Source organism: Homo sapiens, chromosome 14 (assembly GCF_000001405.40).
Source record: "Homo sapiens chromosome 14, GRCh38.p14 Primary Assembly".
NCBI classification, from domain to species: Eukaryota; Metazoa; Chordata; class Mammalia; order Primates; family Hominidae; genus Homo; species Homo sapiens.
The window spans coordinates 71,211,734-71,232,032 of record NC_000014.9 but is presented as its reverse complement, the minus strand read 5'-3'; the positions used below and the strand labels follow the sequence as shown (position 1 = coordinate 71,232,032).

The 20,299-nt window shown below is 45.7% G+C and overlaps 1 protein-coding gene across 1 annotated transcript, besides 2 other annotated features; it reads left to right on the top strand.

Annotated features, from left to right (window-relative positions):
• Positions 3,007-3,301: a silencer, noted in NCBI's record as "tiled region #2320; K562 Repressive non-DNase unmatched - State 23:Low". NCBI's record gives its function as "represses a minimal TATA promoter and a strong SV40 promoter by Sharpr-MPRA in K562 cells {active_cell/tissue: K562}" and the evidence as "EXISTENCE:reporter gene assay evidence [ECO:0000049][PMID:27701403]".
• On the top strand, positions 3,802-15,716 carry LOC105370706 (uncharacterized; the record flags this gene model as incomplete). Its single annotated transcript, XM_011537452.3, has 2 exons — positions 3,802-3,969; positions 15,159-15,716. Coding segments are annotated over exons 1-2 (726 nt in total), but the record flags the coding sequence as incomplete, so codon positions are not given.
• Positions 19,670-19,719: an enhancer, noted in NCBI's record as "active region_8670". NCBI's record gives its function as "activates an Ori minimal core promoter by ATAC-STARR-seq in GM12878 lymphoblastoid cells {active_cell/tissue: GM12878}" and the evidence as "EXISTENCE:reporter gene assay evidence [ECO:0000049][PMID:35858748]".

Genomic DNA, 20,299 nt, shown 5'->3' with positions numbered 1-20,299 from the left:
ATAAGTGTCCAGCTGTCAGCAGAGAGGGTAGTTCCTCTCTGCAGCTGGTCGGCGTGTCATCTCCCCATCATCTTTCTTCCTCTGCTGGAGTCTGGCTGAATCTGAATCTGAGGCTTGTATGGGCCTTACCGGGGAGGAAGTGTGTGCTGATTGGTTCATGGGTGGCCATGGGCGGGCCCAGGGAAAAGCACCATAAGTTCCCCCTGCAGTCTTTGGGGACTGGTGGCATAGCCCTCAGGCTTCAGGCCCTCCCCAGTTTGAAGGTGGGGCTTCACTCACTGGGGACCAGCCCCCTTCTGCCCAGGAGTCTGTCTGCCTTCTACCACTATTCATGGCGCCCAAGCTGTTCATGCCAGGGGGCGCCTGCAGACCAGTGCCAGACTGTCCTCAGCCCCCCTCAGCCTCCCTCCAGTGCTTGTTGGTACCTAAAGTCCAGAGGGGGCCGAGGTGCCAGGGGGCTGGCGTGTCAGGCATGTCAGCACTGCCCCCACTGTGTGCACACTCATCTGGGCTGTGACAGCCCAGGGCTTGGCCTCGACTTTGCTCAGAGATCAGAGCAGGCACCAACAGTGGGAGGAAGCCAGGCAGCGCAAGCAGGCATTTCTGACGGGGGTGAGATGGGGGCGGGTAGCAGGGGGCCTTCCTGGGCCCCCAGGAGTGCACAGATGCCTGGGTCTGTAGCCACGGCAGGGTGGCTTCAGGCTGCACCCGGGGAGCTTCCACCCCACCAACTCGGAAGGGTTGGGGTTCCTGCTTGTCCCCAGCTCCCACTGGGTCTGTGGAGTGTGCAGCCCCAGCCACGCCTCCTTGTAGCCTTGGCCGGGGCCTCCAGGTCCTCACTGGGACACTCTCTGCCTGCTCCTCCATGCCCAACCGCACTGCTCCCCCACCAGTGGGCAGCTCAGCCCGCTCCATCATAGTGGCCCCTCGGGCGGTGGCCTCCAGGGGGCTCCCAGGGGCAGGCTCTGGGGACTGCCCACTTCCTCCTTGTGCCCTCCTTGCAGTGGCTGCGAGCAAGAGCAGCGACACGGGGCCAGGGTCCAGGGCGGTAGAGGCTCTGGGCCTGGAAGTGGGTCTCACCTAGCCACGCCAGGGTGGGCACGATGCAGTTGGCTGCCTCAGGGACGTGGGGCACAGGGGTCCCACTGCTGCCACTGCCGTTCCTGCTGCCACTGCCTGCGTCCCTGCTGCCACGGCCGACGCGATGGCAGCAGATGCTCCAGATGGCCTGCTACTGCCATCAGGTTAACATTTTTAAGAGAACAACATATTTTCACTCACCTAAAAAAAATGAGTCAATAGTCTGGGCATGGTGGGTAATGCCTGTAATCCTAGCACTTTAGGAGGCCAAGGTGGGAGGATCCTTGAGCTCAGAAGTTTGAGACCAGCCTGGGCAACATAGTGATATCCTGTCTTTACAAAAAAATCAAAAAATTAGGTAGATGTAGTGGTGCACCTGTAGTCCCAGTTACTCGGGAGACTGAGGCAGGAGAATGGTTTGAGCCCAGGAGGTCGAAACTGCAGTGAGCCATCATCGAACCACTGCCCTCCAGCCTGGGTGACAGAGTGAGACCCTGTCTCAAAATAAATAAATAAATAGGCCATTTACAAAGGATTTTATAAATTTGTTAGTTGAAAGAAGTCTGTTAGGCCCTGAATTGGGCAACACAAGCTAACCAGCACTTGTACTTGGAGTGACAGAAGTTTCTTTCTTTCTCAAATACAAATATTCATTTGCTGCTTTTTCATGGCCAGTGGTTAACAGCCTGGACCACAGAATAATGTAAATCAGCATCAGAGCTCTGGCTCTGTGCCCCATAAGGCACAGGATCTAGAGTAAGTTACATGGGCTCTCCAAGTATCCATTTCTTCATCTGTGAAATGGGAATAATAATTCTCCCTAATATGAGATTTGGCCCCACCCAAATCTCATCTTGAGTTGTAGCTCCCACAATTCCCACATCGTGGGAGGGACCCGGTGGGAGATGATGGAATCATGGGTTCGGGTCTTTCCTGTGCTGTTCTTGTGACAGTGAATAAGTCTCATGGGATCTGATGGTTTTATAAAGAGGAGTTCCCCTACGCAAGCTCTTTTGCCTGCCGCCGTGCTCTTCCTTTGTCTTCCGCCATGATTTTGAGGCCTCCCCAGCCATGTGGAACTGTGAGCTAGTTAAACCTCTCTCCTTTATAAATTACCCAGTAATATGGCTTTCTTAGCAGCATGAGAACAGACTAATACAACACCTCACATGTGTGCTATGAGGATTTAATGAGCTAAACCATGCAAATAACTCAGCCTAATATCTTGCACATAATAAACACTCAATAAATGCAAGCAGTTACGATAATAACTATTCCACAATTCAGGTTTCTTACTACCTTTCTTTAGCACTTTCTTTAAATGCTCTGACTAAAGTGTTTAATCACACACTTTACATGGAACTTGGAGATAGTACTTTGCTGTTTTGAGGAATTGACATTTTTTTAACCAATGAATTTTCTGAATAGTGTTCTGTGGATATTAAGAATTATAGGATGAAGCCAGACGTGTTGGCTTACACTTGTAATCCCAGCACTTTGGGAGGCTGAGGCAGGAGGATGGTTTGAGCCCAGGAGTTCAAGACCAGCCTGGGCAACACAGCAAGACCCTGTCTCAAAAAAAAAAAAAAAAAAAAAAAAAAAGAATGATAAGGATGAAAGTTGTCACCAAAGGTTTGTGTAGGAGATGAGAAAACTAGACCCAAAGGTGAGAGGGGTTGATATAACTTACAATTACTTACCTGAGAAATCAGCTCTTCTTCCAAATTGAGTTGTTTTCCTACTCTCAGCAAAACATGTTTCAATTTATTCTCTGACTTCAGAAAACTTCTATAAGTCAAATACCTACCAAATCATCTATGTCCTTGAACTGAATCTAGGAAACTCTGAGAGATGATATTTATGCATATATTACAGCAAGAATGGGCTAAAAAATGTAATTCTCCTTGGAGAGCTTTGAAGAACAGGGTGTCTTTTGTTTATGTATTCTGAGGTGATGTCATTGTCTCCCCAGTCACCGGGTCACTGGGAGGGTGCAAGGAGTTGCGATAGGGCTGGCCTGGAGCAGTGATGGATTTCACCTCTCACCTGAACTCTTCATGAACAATAGCCCATTTGTCAGGCTGTGGACCCAGGCCTTTCTGCTTATGAAAGGAGGCACAGTCACATGACCTTCATGAGGCCTGAAATTCTCACATCAGCCTTCTTATAAGAGGGCTGTAACCACAAAAGTCAAAAGCTACAGCTGGGGCCAGGCTCTGGCAAGGCACTGGGAATGCAGAGGTGACGACCCAGACAGGCATGGCCACTGGCTTCCTGAAGCTTACACTCTAGTGGGAAAGACAGCATGTAAACAACTGGCAAACAGGAATTAATTACAGTTGAAATGAGCACCATGAAGCACAGAGCAGTGCTGGGTTTTATAATGGGATCTAATGGGGAGGGAGAGGAAGAGCTAGGCATGACATTGAAAACACATTTTGAAAAATATCAAAACAAACACAGAAACATGACGTAGAACACCAACTGTGCTTCAGTTTTAAAGATAAAGCTGAAGACAGCAGAGAAACATCACATTTGCCTAGGGTGGGACTGACAGGGCCTTGTCCTCTCCAAAGTTAGGAGTTGAGGCTTCTGGTTGCTGGGAGTGGCTCAGTAGGAAGAGTTTGAGAAGCTCTGGCAGGGACACAGAGGGTTTGGGCTCCAGAGGTGGAGCCCTCCAGATGTAAAAGTCCCCTAAAACAATGAGAAGGAACCTGCTGGATGGCTGGAGGGCAGCCCATTTCCAGGAGGTCCACAGCCCAGATTGGCAGTCATCAATACCCTTTCCTGGCCACGCCATTCTCCAAATTGCTCACACAGCTGGCACTGTTGCCTCCTCAGCCCCGGCTGCCCCTCTCGTTTTATGCTGCCATCCAGTCTTCCCTCAGGGTGCGGATGAAGCTGTTTGTCTTGAGACACAAAGGAGCCTGTGCATGTGTGTGTGCGCACACACAGAGAAAGAGAGAAGATGAGAGGAGAGAGACATCTGAGCCACTATCCTTTCCTGCTGCACTCTGTTCAACTCTGTTTATCTCTCTTTTGGGGGTAATTGCCAATTCATCTGCTAATTTACCTGATTTTCAGTCCATCTCCTTGGGACACAGTGGGCTCAAGACATCACCAAATAATGTCAGCCATCATTTGACCCCTTCCCCAACCCTCTAGCTCCAGTCCAGCATCTTCAAACTTCTCTTACTAGACTTTCCTGGATGAGGCATTTCTGAGGCGTGGGGAAGAAGCAGTCAGATGGAAGCAGTCCCTAGCAGTCACCGCTGTGGGATGAGGAATGACTGAGGGGAAGAGAAGAAAATGGAAGTAGAGAGGGCAGTCTTCCCTTTCACAAAGTGTGTGGGCCAAGGTGGTATCAGTTGCAGGTGAATTTCTGGGACCAGGAAAGCTCACAAAACAACAGAACCTGAATGTTTTGGGGGACTTACCCAGAACTACTAAATCCTAGAATTTTTTTATTTCTTATTTTTAAAATTTTAAAAATTTTTTGTAGAGACGGGGTCTTGCTATGTTGCCCAGGCTGGTCTTGAACTTTTATCCTCAAGCAGTCCTCCTACCTTGGCCTCCCAAAGTGCTGGCATGAGCCACCATGCCTGGCCTTGAATCATAGAATTCTTGAACATCATCAAACCTACAAAGGCCCAAAGTAAAACATAGTAAAGAATAACTGAAAAATAAAATGATCTCTTTGAATCTTTAATAATTCTATTCTGGCTGGGCGCAGTGGCTCACACCTGTAATCCCAGCACTTTGGGAGGCCAAGGTGGACACACCACTTGAGGCTAGGAGTTTGAGACCAGCCTGGCCAACATGGTGAAACACCGTCTCTAAAAAAAATGACAAAAATTAGCCAGGCGTGTTGTACTATGCTTGTAATCCCAGCTACTCCAGAGGCTGAGACATGACAATCGCTTTAACTGAGGAGGTGGAGGTTGCAGTGAGCTGAGATCACACCACTGCACTCCCAGCCTGGGCGACAGAGCAAGACTCTTTCTCAAAATAATAATTAATAATAATAATAATAATAATTCTATTCCTACAGGACTCCAGTTATTTGTAATAGCATCTCACTTTCTTAGATCCCTTGACATGCATCATTAGCGGTTGTCTTCCTATCAGATTAGTTTGTCACATACAAGAAGTTTTACCTTTGTGACAACCACAACGAGCAGAGAATGTTGGTGTTGATACATGAATGCTGATAATTAATCTCATTCTCCCTAAGACTCCATTTTTGTATCCTAGCTTCACTATAAAATTTGATGCTTTATTATACTGAATACATTTTTTTAAACCTCAAGAATGTAAGTTACACAATGCTACAGTTTGAATGTGTCTCCCAGAATTCATATTTTGGAAACTTAATTCCCAATGTGATAGTATTGGGAGGTAGGGGCTAATGGGAAGTGTTTAGGTCATGAGGAATCCATCCTCATGAACAGATTCATGCCCTTAAGAAAGGGCTGGTGGGAGTGGGTTCGCTCTCTTGCGCTCTTGACCTTCCACTTCCGCCATACAATGACAAGCAAGAAGGCCCTCACCAGCTGCCAGTGCCTTGATCCTGGACTTCACAGCCTCCAGAACTGTGAGCCAATGAATTTCTGTTTATTATAAATCACCCAATCTCAGGAATTCTGCAATAGCAGCACAAAATGGGCTAAGATATTGGCATTTCAAACCAACTGGAGACAGAATAAAATATTCAATAGATAGCATTGGATTGATATGCTACTTGTTTGGGGACAGAGAAAAGTTAGATTGCCCCACTCCACCTCATACCTTACTTAACAATTAATTCCTTATGACCAAAGAGCTGAGCATAAAGCAAAACTAACAACTTTAAAATATATTTAACAGAATTTGAAAAAAACATCCTGAGATGGGGAAAATCTCCTAAAACGAGATTTAAATCCAGAAACCTTAAACAAAATAACTGACAGTTTGTTTACATAAAGTGGCAAATTTTGCATCTAAAAAGATACCATGAACAAAATTGAAAACAAAATGGGTGTGGTGCAGTGGCTCATGCTTATAATCCCAGCACTTTCGGAGGCTGCGGTGGACGGATCACCTGAGGTCAGGACTTCAAGACCAGCCTGACAAACATGAAGAAACCCCATCTCTACTAAAAATACAAAGATTAGCTGGGCATGGTGGCAGGCACCTGTAATCCCAGCTACTCGGGAGGGTGAGGCAGGAGAATCATTTGAACCTGGGAGGCGGAGGTTGCAGTGAGCTGAATTTGTGCCACTGCCCTACACCCTGGGCAACAGAGTGAGACTGTCTCAAAAAACAAACAAACAAACAAAAATCCAAAATGGCTAGGCTGAAAGTAAACCTTTTTGAGTATACCTGACAAGCAGCCTCCCCAGGTATTCTTTTCTCAGTAGAACTCCTCTTATCTTCAACACTCAGACCTCATAAAATGTACATATCTCTCCAATACAGTATTTTTTGAACCAATGTTTATATAGAACATTTTATTTGTACATTCCCCAAACTCAAGATAATATTTTTAAACAAAGTAGGTTGTGTGGGAGGGAAAGGGGAAGAATTTTCCAGTTACTTTCCAATTATAATTGGAAGGATGTCAGAATCACATGCAGATGTTTTGAAAAGTGCCAAGTGTTAACAAAGGGATGTGAGTAGGATGTTGATGGCTACACACAAGCAAATGTCTGTTAAAAGTCACGTGAACTGTTTGGTGATCAGGAAACAATGTTTTGTGAGGTGGGGTGGCTCACGCCTAATCCCAGCACTTAGGAAGGTCAAGGCAGGAGGATTGCTTGAGGCCAGAAGTTTGAGACCAGCCTGGTCAATATAGCAAGACTCTCTTTCTACCAAAAATTAGAAACTTAGCTGGGTGCGGTGGCACTCACCTGTAGTCCCAGCTACTCAGGAGGCTGAGGTGGGAGGATTGCTTGAGCTCAGGATTTACAGGCTGCAGTGAATTATGATCATGCCACTGTACTCCAGCCCGGGCATCAGAGTAAGATCCTTTCTCTAAAAAGATTTAAAGGAAGCAATGTTGTATGCATCTTATGTACTAAATAATTTGTTAAATACATTGACATATTCCGGTGTTTTAGGAAATTGACTGGCAGTGTTATATTGATAGGAAATGGAATCCTCATTAGTATTTTCATTCAGTTTCTGGTGTTTAGAGATGGATTTCTGATGTAATGGAGACATGTTTGTATTCACAAATGGTAATATAGACAGGTTAATATTGAGAAAATACATAAAGTGATTTGTTCAAATCTAAAAGAAAAAGATGAAACAAAAAGATTTAAAATCACTAGGAAATGGGTAAAGAATGGAAACAGACAATTCACAAGAGAAAAAAAATTGTGAAATTGTGAAATTAACCAATAAATATGAACAGTACTCAACCTCACTGTAAGCAAAAAAATACATTAAGTATATTCACTTGATCTTAGCCAAAAGGCCGAGAAGTGACATATTAAGTATATTCAAACAATGAATTACCCTCTTAAAATCCATCAGATTTACAGAAGAGAAAAAAATTGATAATATTGAGTTGTTGAAGATTTGGGAAATCAGGCACTTTTATTTTTCTAGTGGCTGTGAACATTGATGAAGGCATTTTTCAAGGCAAATTGCTAGTATCTATTAAAAACTGCAATGCATACATACTTTAACAACTTATTTCTAGAAACCTATCATTCCAAAATACATATATTCACAAAGATATGTGCATCTTTATGAATACATATTGCAGCATTATTTGTAATATCAAAACATATTGAAAAGATCCAAAATGTATACCAAGAATTTAAATATATTATGGTATGAAACACCATGCTATTGTTAGAGAGAGTCAGGTAGACTTATGCATACTGAGATGAAAGGTCTCCAAAGCATATTAAGTGAACAGAGCAAGTTGCAGAAAAATACGTGCAAAATTCGACATTTATGTGTACGCCTGTAGAGATATGTCAGCAAATATATAGGAAAGGAGACTGAAAGGATGCACACTGAACTGTCTAGAACAGTTGCTTCTGGGAGAGAAGTAGTTGTTGGAGGAGGTGCTGGACGATGGTATTCTCCGTTACCAAATATTCCAGTTTCTTGCCCTGCAGTGCCCCTCTCTGCAGGAGTCTATTTTCCCACACTGTTGACCTCAGGAATGACCATATTACTTGCTTTGGCCAATAACTGATGTTGGTCATTTTTGTGCAAAGTTTTAGAAGTTAAGGCACCCTTTGCCTTGTCTTTTTCCTTCTGCCACGAGATTGGTGATATTTCAGATAGAGGTTAGGTTCTTCCATCAGTTTTGGTTCTGGAGTCAAGATGGTAAAAAGCAGAGCTGTGGTGGACTCATGAAAAACATGCATGGCCAGGCGCCGTGGCTCAGGCCTGTAATCCCAGCACTGTAGGAGGCCAAGGTGGGCAGATCACTTGAGGTCAGGAGTTTGAGACCAGCCTGGCCAACATGGTGAAACCCTGTATCTACTAAAAGTACAAAAATTAGCTAGGTATGGTGGCACGTGCCTGTAACCCCAGCTACTTGTGAGGCTGAGGTGGGAGGATCGCTTGAACCTGGGAGGCGGAGGTTGCAGTGAGCTGAGATTGTGCCACTGCACTCCAGCCTGAGCAATAGAACAAGACTCCATCTCAAATAAAAAATAAAAAATTAATAAAGGCTGGGTGCAGTGGCTAATGCCTGTAATCCCAGCACTTTGGGAGGCAGAGGTAGGCAGGTCACCTGAGGTCAGGAGTTTGAGATCAGCCCTGCCAACATGGTGAAACCCTGTCTCTACTAAAATACAAAAATTTGCTGGGCGTGGTGGTGTGCACCTGTAATCCCAGCTACTCGGGATGCTGAGGTAGGAGAATTGCTTGAACCCAAGAGGCAGAGTTTGCAGTGAGCCAAGATCGCTCCACTGCACTCCAGCTTAGGCGAAAGAGCCAGACGCTGTCTCAAAATAAATAAATAAATAATTTTTAAAAAGAAAAATAAAAATAGAAAAACATGTAGTGCGAACAAGAAAAAAATCTCACACCTGTAATCGCAGCACTTTGGGAGGCTGAGGTAGGAGGATTGATTAAGGCCAGAAGTTTAAGACCAGCCTGCGCAATACAGGACAAATAAATAAATAAATGAATAAAGTTACTGAGGTTTGGAGACATTTATTACTGTAGTATAACATGGCCTACTGTGACTGGTACCAATAAGGAAAACTTCCACAGGTTTTCTTCCATATTTTTTTATTGTATAGACATTTTGGAATATACATATACTTATGTATTACTTATAAACTAATTTTTAAAAATTGACATCTCAGGCCGGGTACAGTGGCTCATGCTTGTAATCCCAGCACTTTGGGAGGCCAAGGTGGGTGGATCATGATGTTAGGAGTTCGAGACCAGCCTTACCAACATGGTGAAACCTCATCTGTACTAAAAATACAAAAATTAGCTGGGCGTGGTGGCATGTGCCTGTAATCTCAGCTACTCAGGAGGCTGAGGCAGGAGAATTGCTTGAACCCGGGAGGCGGAGATTGCAGTGAGCTGAGATCATGCCACTGCACTCCAGCCTGGACGACAGAGCGAGACTCTGTCTCAAAAAAAAAAAAAAAATTACATCTCAGCAAAATTACAAATGACCACATGTCAAGGGCCTTCAGGATTGTTGACAATTAGAAACTGCAAAAGCAAAATCCTGGAATTCCAAGGGCAAATTTGAAGTGCCTGCCTGAAACATGACTGCATGCCAACACACTATGTAGTGCTGTGAGGAGGTAAGAGGTATGTTGTCAAGCCAGGGACCAAGAAATATAGTGGTTAACTAGACAGGTGAGAAATCTTCTTGTGTATATTAGAGGAAGGACATTCGGGCAGTCAGCGTTCCACCTTCTAACTGTAGTGCTGAAGCGCATCCCAGTAAATGGTGGGGTCATAGTGGTTGCTTTTGTAGACATTATGAGATGTTGTTCTTCAGTAGTAGGGATTAAGTTGCAATGATTGCTGAGTCACTGTTGTCTGAATGTGCCGGCTCTTCAAATGTGTCCTGAACACAAAGAATTTGAGAACCCCTGACTCAGGAAGTAGGGCAGGTAATTATGCATAGACTCTTCTTTCCTGGTGGCTGCTGCCCCTCACCTGAATCTAAATGCTCAGCACTTACTCCTTGATGGAGCACCTGTTCCATGGGGGCCAGGCCTCAGCAAACCTACCCCCAAAAATCCAAGGAAGCTGAGAGGCTGAAGAAAAAGGCTGACATATCCAGTTCCTCAGAAATATACACTTAATAGGGACTTACAAACAGAAGCCATGTCTGTGTCTCAGGCAGCAGTGAGGCAAGATGGTGGATCCTGCACCATTTATTCTCATGACCAGGGCTTATATAATACTGGGAAAGGGTATATGTGATTCAGAATGTTTGTGTAGAACAATTGAAGTCCTATAACATCAAGGTTGTTTTGACCTCAGGGCAGGATTTACAGTAGGTACCTACTCTCACACAAGAAACATCAAATAAACTGGAAATCTTAGAGGACTTCCTAGAACAAGGGTTAATCAGAAGTTAAAGTGATGGATTAGCATCCAAGTTGGAGTTGCTTTGGCCTCCACAGCACCTCCTCTTTGTTAGGCGCTGGAATTGCTGTTAGCAATACAGACACAATTCTTGCTCTCAAATGCATAGCCTAGTAGAGGAGACAGATCAGTTATACATACATAAAGGCACAGATAACAGTAATAGCAATAGTAACCCTTTCTGAAAGGGGTAGTCGTTTTCAAGTATTTATAGTTCACACATACACACACAAACCAACCCAGCAAGCCCAGTATAATTTCCCTACTTTTACAGATGAGGGCATTGAGATTGGGAGAAATGAACTGGCTTCCTTAGGTTCCAACAGACCATAGGTAGAGGCTCAGCCTCAAGTTCTTCTCGTCTATGCAAAGTGACCTCCTGTGCAAAAGGATGAGTAAATAATAGCATCAGAGTGAAACAAAAGGCTGTGAGGCACAGAAGATATCAAAACTTTAACCTTGAATCAAAACTTTAACCTTCAGAGCAGGATGCAACAATCCAGCTTTTTGTTTACTTTGTTCCCAGAGGTTAAAGCAGACCCCGGTGAGTGGAGTGGCCTGGAAATCTGACTTTGGTTAGCTATGGTTAGAATTCCTTCTATTTCTGCCTGCATGCCCGCCCCCTTCTAGTACTGGAAGTAAACATCTTACTTGATAGGGGGATGGGGTTAGGGAGAAGGAAAGTCCTCACAATAGGTCTGCTGTTGTGCAAAGAATTCTACGAGATGCAGATTTAGACCAAGGCAGTGGGGGCAGTGGGGGAAGGGGTGGTGCCAAGGTCCCACCCATCAAGTCCCTTCTGTGGCTGAGGCTGAGAATTGGTCACATATATTTGCCATCAGCTAAGTGATCTGTTTAACGTTTTTCCTGGTTAGGCTCTCAGCACAGAGAAATATCCTAGGAGATCAAGCTCAGTCAGGTCTGTTCTCTGTTACTTAAGGGAGTTTAACCTGAACAAGGGTTTAGCAGGGCTCCCAGTCCCAAGACCATTTTCGTATGGGTTTATTTTCCCACTGGCAGGGTGAGTGAGAACAGTGAGTGAAGTTTTCACCAAAAGAAACCAAAAATCCAAGCAAGAGGCCTTGGTGGTGGTCTCCTGTTCTGGGCTCTGCTTTAGGGCTGAGGTCTCAGCCTTTGCACCACAGGATCCACAGGACCCCATGGACACTCAACAGAGGCAGTGGAAGCCAGGGAAGAGACATTCTGGACAACCTATGGGATGGTGAGCGGCTCAGCTCTGTATTATGAATGGAAGTCAGAGGAAAAAGAGATTTATAAGAGTCTTTTAACAAGTGCTCCAGCTGACTAAAATGGTAAATAAAGACAGAGAGAGGCTGAGTGCGGTGACTCATGCCTGTAATCCCAGCACTTTGGGAGGCCAAGGCAGGAGAATCACTTGAGTCTAGGAGTTCGAGACCAGCCTGGGCAACATAGTGAGACCTTGTATCTACAAAAAATAAAATTGTCAGAGGCAGTTGAACTAGAGCAACTCCATCTTGAATAGGGGCTGTGTAAAATAAGGCTGAGACCTACTGGGCTGCATTCCCAGACAGTTAGACCTTCTAAATCACAGGATGAGATAGAGGTCAGAACAAGATACAGGTCACAAAGACCTTGCTGATAAAACAGTTTGCAGTAAAGAAGCCAGCTAAAACCCACCAAAACCAAGATGGTGATGAGAGTGACCTCTGGTCGTCCTCACTGCTACACTCCCACCAGCACCATGACAGTTTACAAATGCCATGGCAACATCAGGAAGTTACCCTATATGGCCTAAAAAGGGGAGGCATGAATAATCCACCCCTTGTTTAGCATATCATCAAGAAATAACCATAAAAATGGGCAGCCAGCAGCTCTTGGGGCTTTTCTGCCTATGGAGTAGCCATTCTTTTACTCCCTTAGTAAACTGGCTTTCACTTTCCTCTATGGATTTGCCTTGAATTCTTTCTTGTATGAGATCCAGGAACCCTCTCTTGGGGTCTGGATTGGGACCCCTTTCCGATAACAAAATTAGCTGGGCATGGTTGTGCATGCCTGTTGTCCCGGCTACTTGGGAGGCTGAGGTGGGAGAATCGATTGACCCCCGGAGGCTGAGGCTGCAGTGAGCTGAGATTGCACTATTGCACTCCAGCCTGGGTGACAGAGTGAGATCTTGTCTCAAAAAAAACCAAACAACAACAACAACAAAAAACAAACCAAAAACAGAAAGAGAGGGAAAAAAATGGGTGAAAGAGGCAGTTACCTTGTGCCTGGGAAACATGGAATGTTTCATGGAATGTGAGAAAACTGTACAAACATTTCAATAGAGCAACAGGTGGTGAAGGTTTCTTTTTTTTTTCTTTTTTTTTTTTTTTTGAGACAGAGTCTCGCTCTGTCACACAGGCTGGAGTACAGTGGCACAGTCTTGGCTCACTGCAACCTCCACCTCTCGGGTTCAAATGATTCTCCTGCCTCAGCCTCCCAAGTAGCTGGGACTACAGGTGCCCACCACCATGCCCGGCTAATTTTTTGTATTTTTAGTAGAGAGGGGGTTTCACCATGTCGATCTCTTGACCTCGTGATCCACCTGCCTCGGCCTCCCAAAGTGCGGGGATTACAGGTGTGAGCCACCGCACCCGGCCTGTAGGTTTCTTTAGAGCTGTGATTCAATGACATGTAGCATCAAGTTTATATGAGTGTCACATTTCCTTTGAATAGTGTTAAAAATGACTCTAAACTTTTGAATCATCAAAGGTCAGAAGAGGACACTTAACTTTTTCCATTATACTCAGCTGCTCTTCTTAGGGGACATTTTGTGCTCTTGTGAAGTGAGCAATTGAGGTGCCAAAGGCCAGTGTGGTATGCCCTGTTTCTGACCTCTTAACCTGTGGGTGTCTTGAGGAAGAAAGTGGCTTAAAAAAAAATCTTTGTTTCCTCTGTGCCTGGAAGGGCCAGGAGGGGGTGGAGGGCAGACAATGCCAGGTGGCACTCACTCTCAGGGTTGTGCAAGTGAGTTTCTCCTTAAACTTTGTCTGCTCAATGCCTCATTGGCCCCAGCCTAGTCCTGGCTCTGGGGTCAAGCACAGTGCAGAGATGACAATAAGAGCTCCTTGGCCAGGCACAGTGGCTCACGCCTGTAATCCCAGCACTTTGGGAGGCCTTGGCAGGTGGATCACTTGGGGTCAGGAGTTAAGCTCAGCCTGGCCAACATGGTGAAACCCTGTCAAAAGAAAGAAAGGAAGGAAGGAAGGAAAGAAAAGAAAAGAAAAGGAACTCCTTTGTTGAATGAATAAGGGGATAAGCAAATGAAGTGTATAGGGAAGGACACACACATTGGAAAACTCTAGATACTGAGTGTTTTCACAGCCTTTGTCCAGCCTGTGTTACAAAAGGGTCATGTTGAGGTAGATTAACTGGGCCTCCAGTATCATCTTAGCTCAGGCTGCTGTAACAGGGTAACATACGGTGGTTCAGACAACAGGCATTTCTCTCTGGTGGTTCTGGAGGCTGGGAAGTCCAAGATCAAGATGCTGGCAGATTCAACTCCTGGGGAAGGCTCTCTTCCTGCTTTACAGATGATTGCCTTCTCACTGTGTTCCTCACATGGCAGAGAGAAAGAGAGAGAAAGAGTATGTGGTCTCTGTTCCTTTTCTTATAAGACACTAATCCCATCATGGGGGCCCATCCTCATGACCTCATCTAAACCGAATTACTTCCCAAAGGGCCCACCTCCAAATACCATCACATTGGGAGTTAGGACTTCAACAAATGAATTGGGGTGAGGCAAGGCACAAACATTCAGTCCATAATGTAGTGCATTAAAATTACACATTTTGGGTCCCTGCTTTGGCACAAAAGTTTGATCGCTGTAATAGAATTCTAAAGTGACCCCCAAGATTCCCTCACCCAGTGTGCACAACCTGTGTAATCCCCATCCCTTGAGTGGGTGGGCCTGGCCTAATCAAGTGAACTCTTTAAAAGAGGGTGTAGAGGTTAGAGATCAAAGAAGTCAGAGAGATTGGAAGCATGAGAGGGATTTTTCTTGAAGGAACCAATAGCTACATTATAAGAGGGCTACAGGATGAGAAAATAGGAGAGGCCTCCAGGAGCTCAGAGCAGTCCCCAGTAACAGCCAGCAGGAGGTGGGCAACTCAGTCCTACAACCACAAGCAACTAAATTTTTGATGCCAATCTTATGAGACCCTACGCAGAGAACGCAGCCACACCACACCTGCACTTCTGCCTCACTTTCTTGCTGGCTGTTACTGGGGACTGCTCTGAGCTCCTAGGTGATCACAAATTTGTGTTTCATTAAGCCGCTAGGTTTATAGTAATTTGTTACATAGCGTAGAAAGCTTATCTCCTTTCTACAATAGATCAGTCCACCTCTCCTGGGTCCCGTCTTATTAAAAATAGCTCTCATGTGGTTGTTGATTACATTTTTCCCTCGCATTAATATATAACCTGTTCCTTTTAATCTATAACCTTCTTCTTTTTTCCCCTACTGTTTCCTTTGGGAATTTACATAGCAATTTAGAATCTACTACACACATTGCTATTTGAACACTCACAGAAAACTATTATCTTCCCCCCGCCCTCTACAAAGCATCTCCAGGGCTCATATTATTGTGAGGCCTCTATTTTCATCCTTGCAACCAATGTTCAGAGCTTACAGAGCTTATCATGTTTATTATATAACAATAAGACACAAGCCAAAACAACTTGCTGCTGGGCTTTTAAACATAGCAACAGCAGAAATCTTTTCTGGGCTTGAGGAAGAGCCACTTCAAATGTCTACTAATTTCAGCAATTTTCTGGTCTATGGAATGAAAAGTCTAAAACTCACAGCCCTCTGCTCCACCATCGGACTTCATGACGCAAGGGGGCGGGTGGGGAAGAAAGTGGCGCGCTCCCTGGTTGTTGGGATTCACAGGCTGCCTCTCAAAGGAGTATTGCCTGGGTGGCGAATGCTCTTGGAGGAGAAAAGAGAAAGGCATGAAACGGGGACCCTTCAAAGTTGCCACCATGGTAATGTCACTCAGTGGCACAGGGCTTGTTCCTCCCTTTTGTTCTCTTTTCTTTTTTTTTTTTTGAGACGGAATCTCGGAGTCTCGTTCTGTCACCCAGGCTGGAGTGCAGTGGCGCTATCTCAGCTCACTGCAAGCTCTGCCTCCTGGGTTCACACCATTCTCCTCCCTCAGCCTCCCGAGTGGCTGGGACTACAGGTGCCTGCCACCACGCCTGGCTAATTTTTTGTATTTTTATTAGAGACGGGGTTTCACCATGTTAGGATAGTCTCGATCTCCGGACCTCATGATCCACCTGCCTCGGCCTCCCAAAGTGCTGGCATTACAGGTGGGAGCTACCGCGCCCGGCCCCTTTTGTTCTCTTTTCTAATGGGAGGACCATCAGCAGTTGTATTCAAATGAAGAGCTCATTTAGTTATAAGCACTGAAAACCTAATCCGGTTTAAGCACAGCAGGTTTCTTGGCTGACATAGTGGATTGAGCCAAGGCTGTGCTGTTCCCTTGACCTCCCTGTTTGGTTTCATTCTCAGGCACCCACTCCCCACACAATGCCCTTCACTTCCCCACCCCTAACCCAAATCTCTGGCCTCACCCCATGGAAAAAGGGTGCCTCTTTCCTCCATTCCAGCCATGAACGCTGGGCTGACCATTTGAGCTTTGGTCACATGTCCTCCCCTTAAATCAGTGCAGTGGCCAGGGAGATGGAACCCACTGTTTGGCCAGCACAGGGCATGTGTGTCTATTTCTAGAGCAGGAAGACGAGGTCACGAGGACTGAGTGTGGGGAAAGGCTGGGTCCCCAGAGGAAAACCAGGGTGCCATTACCATTGGATGGTGGAGTGGACACTGGGTGAACCACGGATGGCCTCCAGCAGCAGGACCTGTCCCAGTACCAGATAGAGCTGGGAAGGCTTGAAGCCCGGAGAGACCATGGGGAGCAGAGGCTTCTCCCCAGCTCTGTGCTTCCACTGAGCCACCCCAGCATCCTGCACGTTCATCTATGTGTGTGTGTACCTCTCACCCAGGCTGCCTGCCTGGAAGTAGAGTCAACGTGGAGGTGCATAGCACAGTGTTTCTCTGCCTCGGGCCTTCTAATTTCCTCTCTTGGCCCACAAGGGGTGGGAATTTCTGTGCCCTGTCCCTGTGTTCCTCTGAGAGTGGACTGTCTTCTCTCCCTTCACAAAAATCTGAGGGCTGTATGAAGACTTCACGTGGGGGGCCTGGCCTGCTGTGGGTGGGGGTCTGTGTGCAGCAGGAAGTGGGAAGCTGGAGTAACCCTGGGTCCCAAGCCTTTGGAAAGCCACATTGTCCCTAGAGCTGTCACTCGTGGGGTTATTCCGTCTCTACTCGTGTCCTGTTGGATCTGCCACACAGCAGGACCTCTCTGTATCCACTTCCTATGGGTTCTCCCCAGAGCATCTTTCAGGGGTGCCATGACCCCTGCTTTCTGGATTGAGGCGGTAGGAAGGGCTCTCTCTTGTTTCTAATTGAACATTGGCCTATGCCAGACTGACCAAATACTCCCTGATCATTCAAAGTGTCTCCTCCATGCCCTTGGGCAGGTTCCATTTCTGCTTAGCCGGAGAGACTTCCCTATTCACCAACAATGAGTTAAACACTCTTTGATGGGGAAGGTAAAAGATTTTCCCTATGTAGGATACATACTTGGAAATTTAGCTCTTAGCAGTTGGGTGTGCTATATGCAAAAGTAAAGTGCCAATTAGTTTTGCTGAATTTTATTAATATTGGGGGTCCATTATAAAACCACCCATTAGGTCTATAACAGCACAACTTAAGATATATCCTAGTGGGGTTATCTATTTGATTCATGATGCTTAAATCGTTAATTTTATACTTAACACAGGGAATGTGATTGAATGATTCATTTATGTAGCAAAGTTGTACTTATTAAATATTTACTCAGTGTAAGGTACTGAGCCAAGGAATACAAAGATAGCTAACACTCATTTCTTCTCCTCCAAAAGTTTATAATCTACTAGATGAAGCAAGTGCGTAGCACAAAAATAGCTAAATCTGTTTCTTTGGGAAGACAGCTTATTGGAAGTTCACCTAACTTCAAGCTTGAGGAGCTTTTACTGAAACTAACTAAGGTTTGGCTCAGGTGTCTGGTATTAAAAAGGGCCACTCAGAAGCTCCAAATCCCAGGAAAGGTTCTAGATACTGGGGAGGGGCTATAGAGTTTCAGGGATTCTTTTGCTTCAAAATTAAGTAAGAATTTTTTGACTGCTCTGAAAGAAGCTATGTGAAACCCAGTGGGAAAAAAATGACTAAATTATTCTTGATCTTTTGGCATTTAACAGAGCAAAATGTAAGTGGAAAGGAAGCAGGAATATCAGATTATTAATGGCACATTAACTATTTGAAGAACGTGTTGGTCCATAGAGTGTGCAGAGAATCCAGTAAAGGGAATGTATCATGTGACGTCAGAACAGATGGATGTCACATTGAGTCAGCAATGATGAGGGGACAGGTGTTGGACATTGACAGGGTCTGCTATAGTCACCAGGGAGAAGCTGTCTCAAAGACTTGAGCCCCAAGTCTAAACATCTCTGGAAAGGGCCCTGATTTGGCCTATCTTTCGTCACAAGTCACCCTTGGGCCAATCACCTTGGGCCCAAAATAGCTGATGATTCTGTAGTAGCCATGGGAGCTACTGGGGTGGGAACATGTGGGGAAAGTAACTGTGAGGGGTGTGTTCTAACTGGGGAGTTAGTCCTAGAAAAAGGGTGTCCAGTATGCCTGACTTTAGCTGGAGACATTTCTGTAGCTCAGCTTTAATTTTCCAGTATTTGGCATTGAGTTACTATTGTTGCTTCTACAACTCTGACATGAAGTCCCAGTTCTAAAAAAAAAAAAAAAAAAAAAAAAAAAGCCATGGATGAGACAATAAAATGCCCATCTGGATTGTTGCAGCAAGGTATTGTTCTTCACCCTGCTCCATATGAGTCTTGCCCCAGTAACTCGGTCCTTCTAGGACTGGACTTCTCAGAGACGGGGGTTTGTATGAGTCTGTTCTAATGCTGCTGATAAAGACATACCCGAGACTGGGTAATTTATAAAGAAAAATAGGTTTAATGAACTCACAGTTCCACATGGCTGAGGAGACCTCACAATCAAAGGCAAAATGCACATCTTACATGGCAGCAGGCAAGAGAGAATGAGAGCCAAGCAAAAGGGGAAACTCCTTATAAAACCATCAGATCTCATGAGACTTATTCACCACCATAAGAACACTATGGGGGAAACCACCCCCACGATTCAATCGTCTCCCACCAGATCCCTCCCACAACACGTGGGACTTATGAGAGCTACAATTCAAAAGGAGATTCGGGTGGGGACACAGCCAAACCATCTCAGGGTCCTTACCCTCAACCTGGGCCTATGACCCAGCTCCACTCTCGCTGGTAGACTAACCTGATGCTAACTGCAGAACTTCCTGCTTTCCTGGAATCCCAGCTGCTGTGCTTTTAGCTCCATGTCTGCCTCTTCCTGCTGCAGTTAGCTGAGCCATGATGACTGCCTCACAAAGGCTGCCTGCAAGGCAAGGCTCAGCGTGAAGGCTTTGCAGAGACTTGACCCACGGAGCGAAACAGTAAGAGACTGAGAGAGTCAGGTTCCTGGAGGCAGCCGGCACCAAAATTGTCTGGAGGGCAGGGTGACTCCAAAAGACCGTCTGGGGGAGTTCTCACACGTTCCTGACATCTTCTCTCCATACTTTTGGCACAGGGAATTTCAGCTGGCTGGAGTGGGTGGACGAGGTGGAATAAAAAAAAAAAAAATGAAGACAGCTTTAGACACCAAAATCACAAAATCTTACTGTGGAGTCTATCCATTCCTGGACATTTGGCTTGTTTAGGAGGATGCTTGAAATCCACATGCAAATGCAGGTTACACTGAGACCAACACATCACCCTCCAGCGCTTTCCAGTGCTGGATGTGACCTTTCAGAAACCTCCCTGGGGAGGGTCTTTGCCATCTCCTCCCCTCCCCAGAGCACTGTAGGGTAAAGGAGGGCTAAGAGTGAAGCTTGGCAGTAAACTGGCAGTGTGTGCCTCTTCTTACTTAGATCATTGAAACCACCTCAAAGGATGTGAAAAGCTAGCCCAGCATCTGTGAGGCTTGCTGGACTCCAGAGATGACTTCTAAGACCGAGGCCACAGGCTAGGCAGGAAAGGTTTCTCTGCTCTCTAGGGAGTAAAGAAGTCATCAAGACTGGGCGCAATGGCTCTCACCTGTAACCCAACACATTGGGAGGCCGAGGCGGGCAGATCCCCTGAACCCAGGAGTTTGGGACCAGCCTGGGCAACATAGTGGGATCCCCATCTCTACAAAAAATACAAAATCCCCTGAGCCCAGGAGTTTGAGATCAGCCTGGGCAACATAGTGGGATCCCCATCTCTACAAAAAATACAAAATCCCCTGAGCCCAGGAGTTTGAGATCAGCCTGGGCAACATAGTGGGACACCCATCTCTACAAAAAATACAAAAATTAGGCCGGCGTGGTGGTACACACCTGTAGTCCCAGCTACTCTGGAGGCTGAGATGGGAGAATTACTTGAGCCAGGGAGGTGGAGGCTGCAGTGAGCTGCGTTTGCTCCACTGAGCCACTGCACTCTAGTCTGG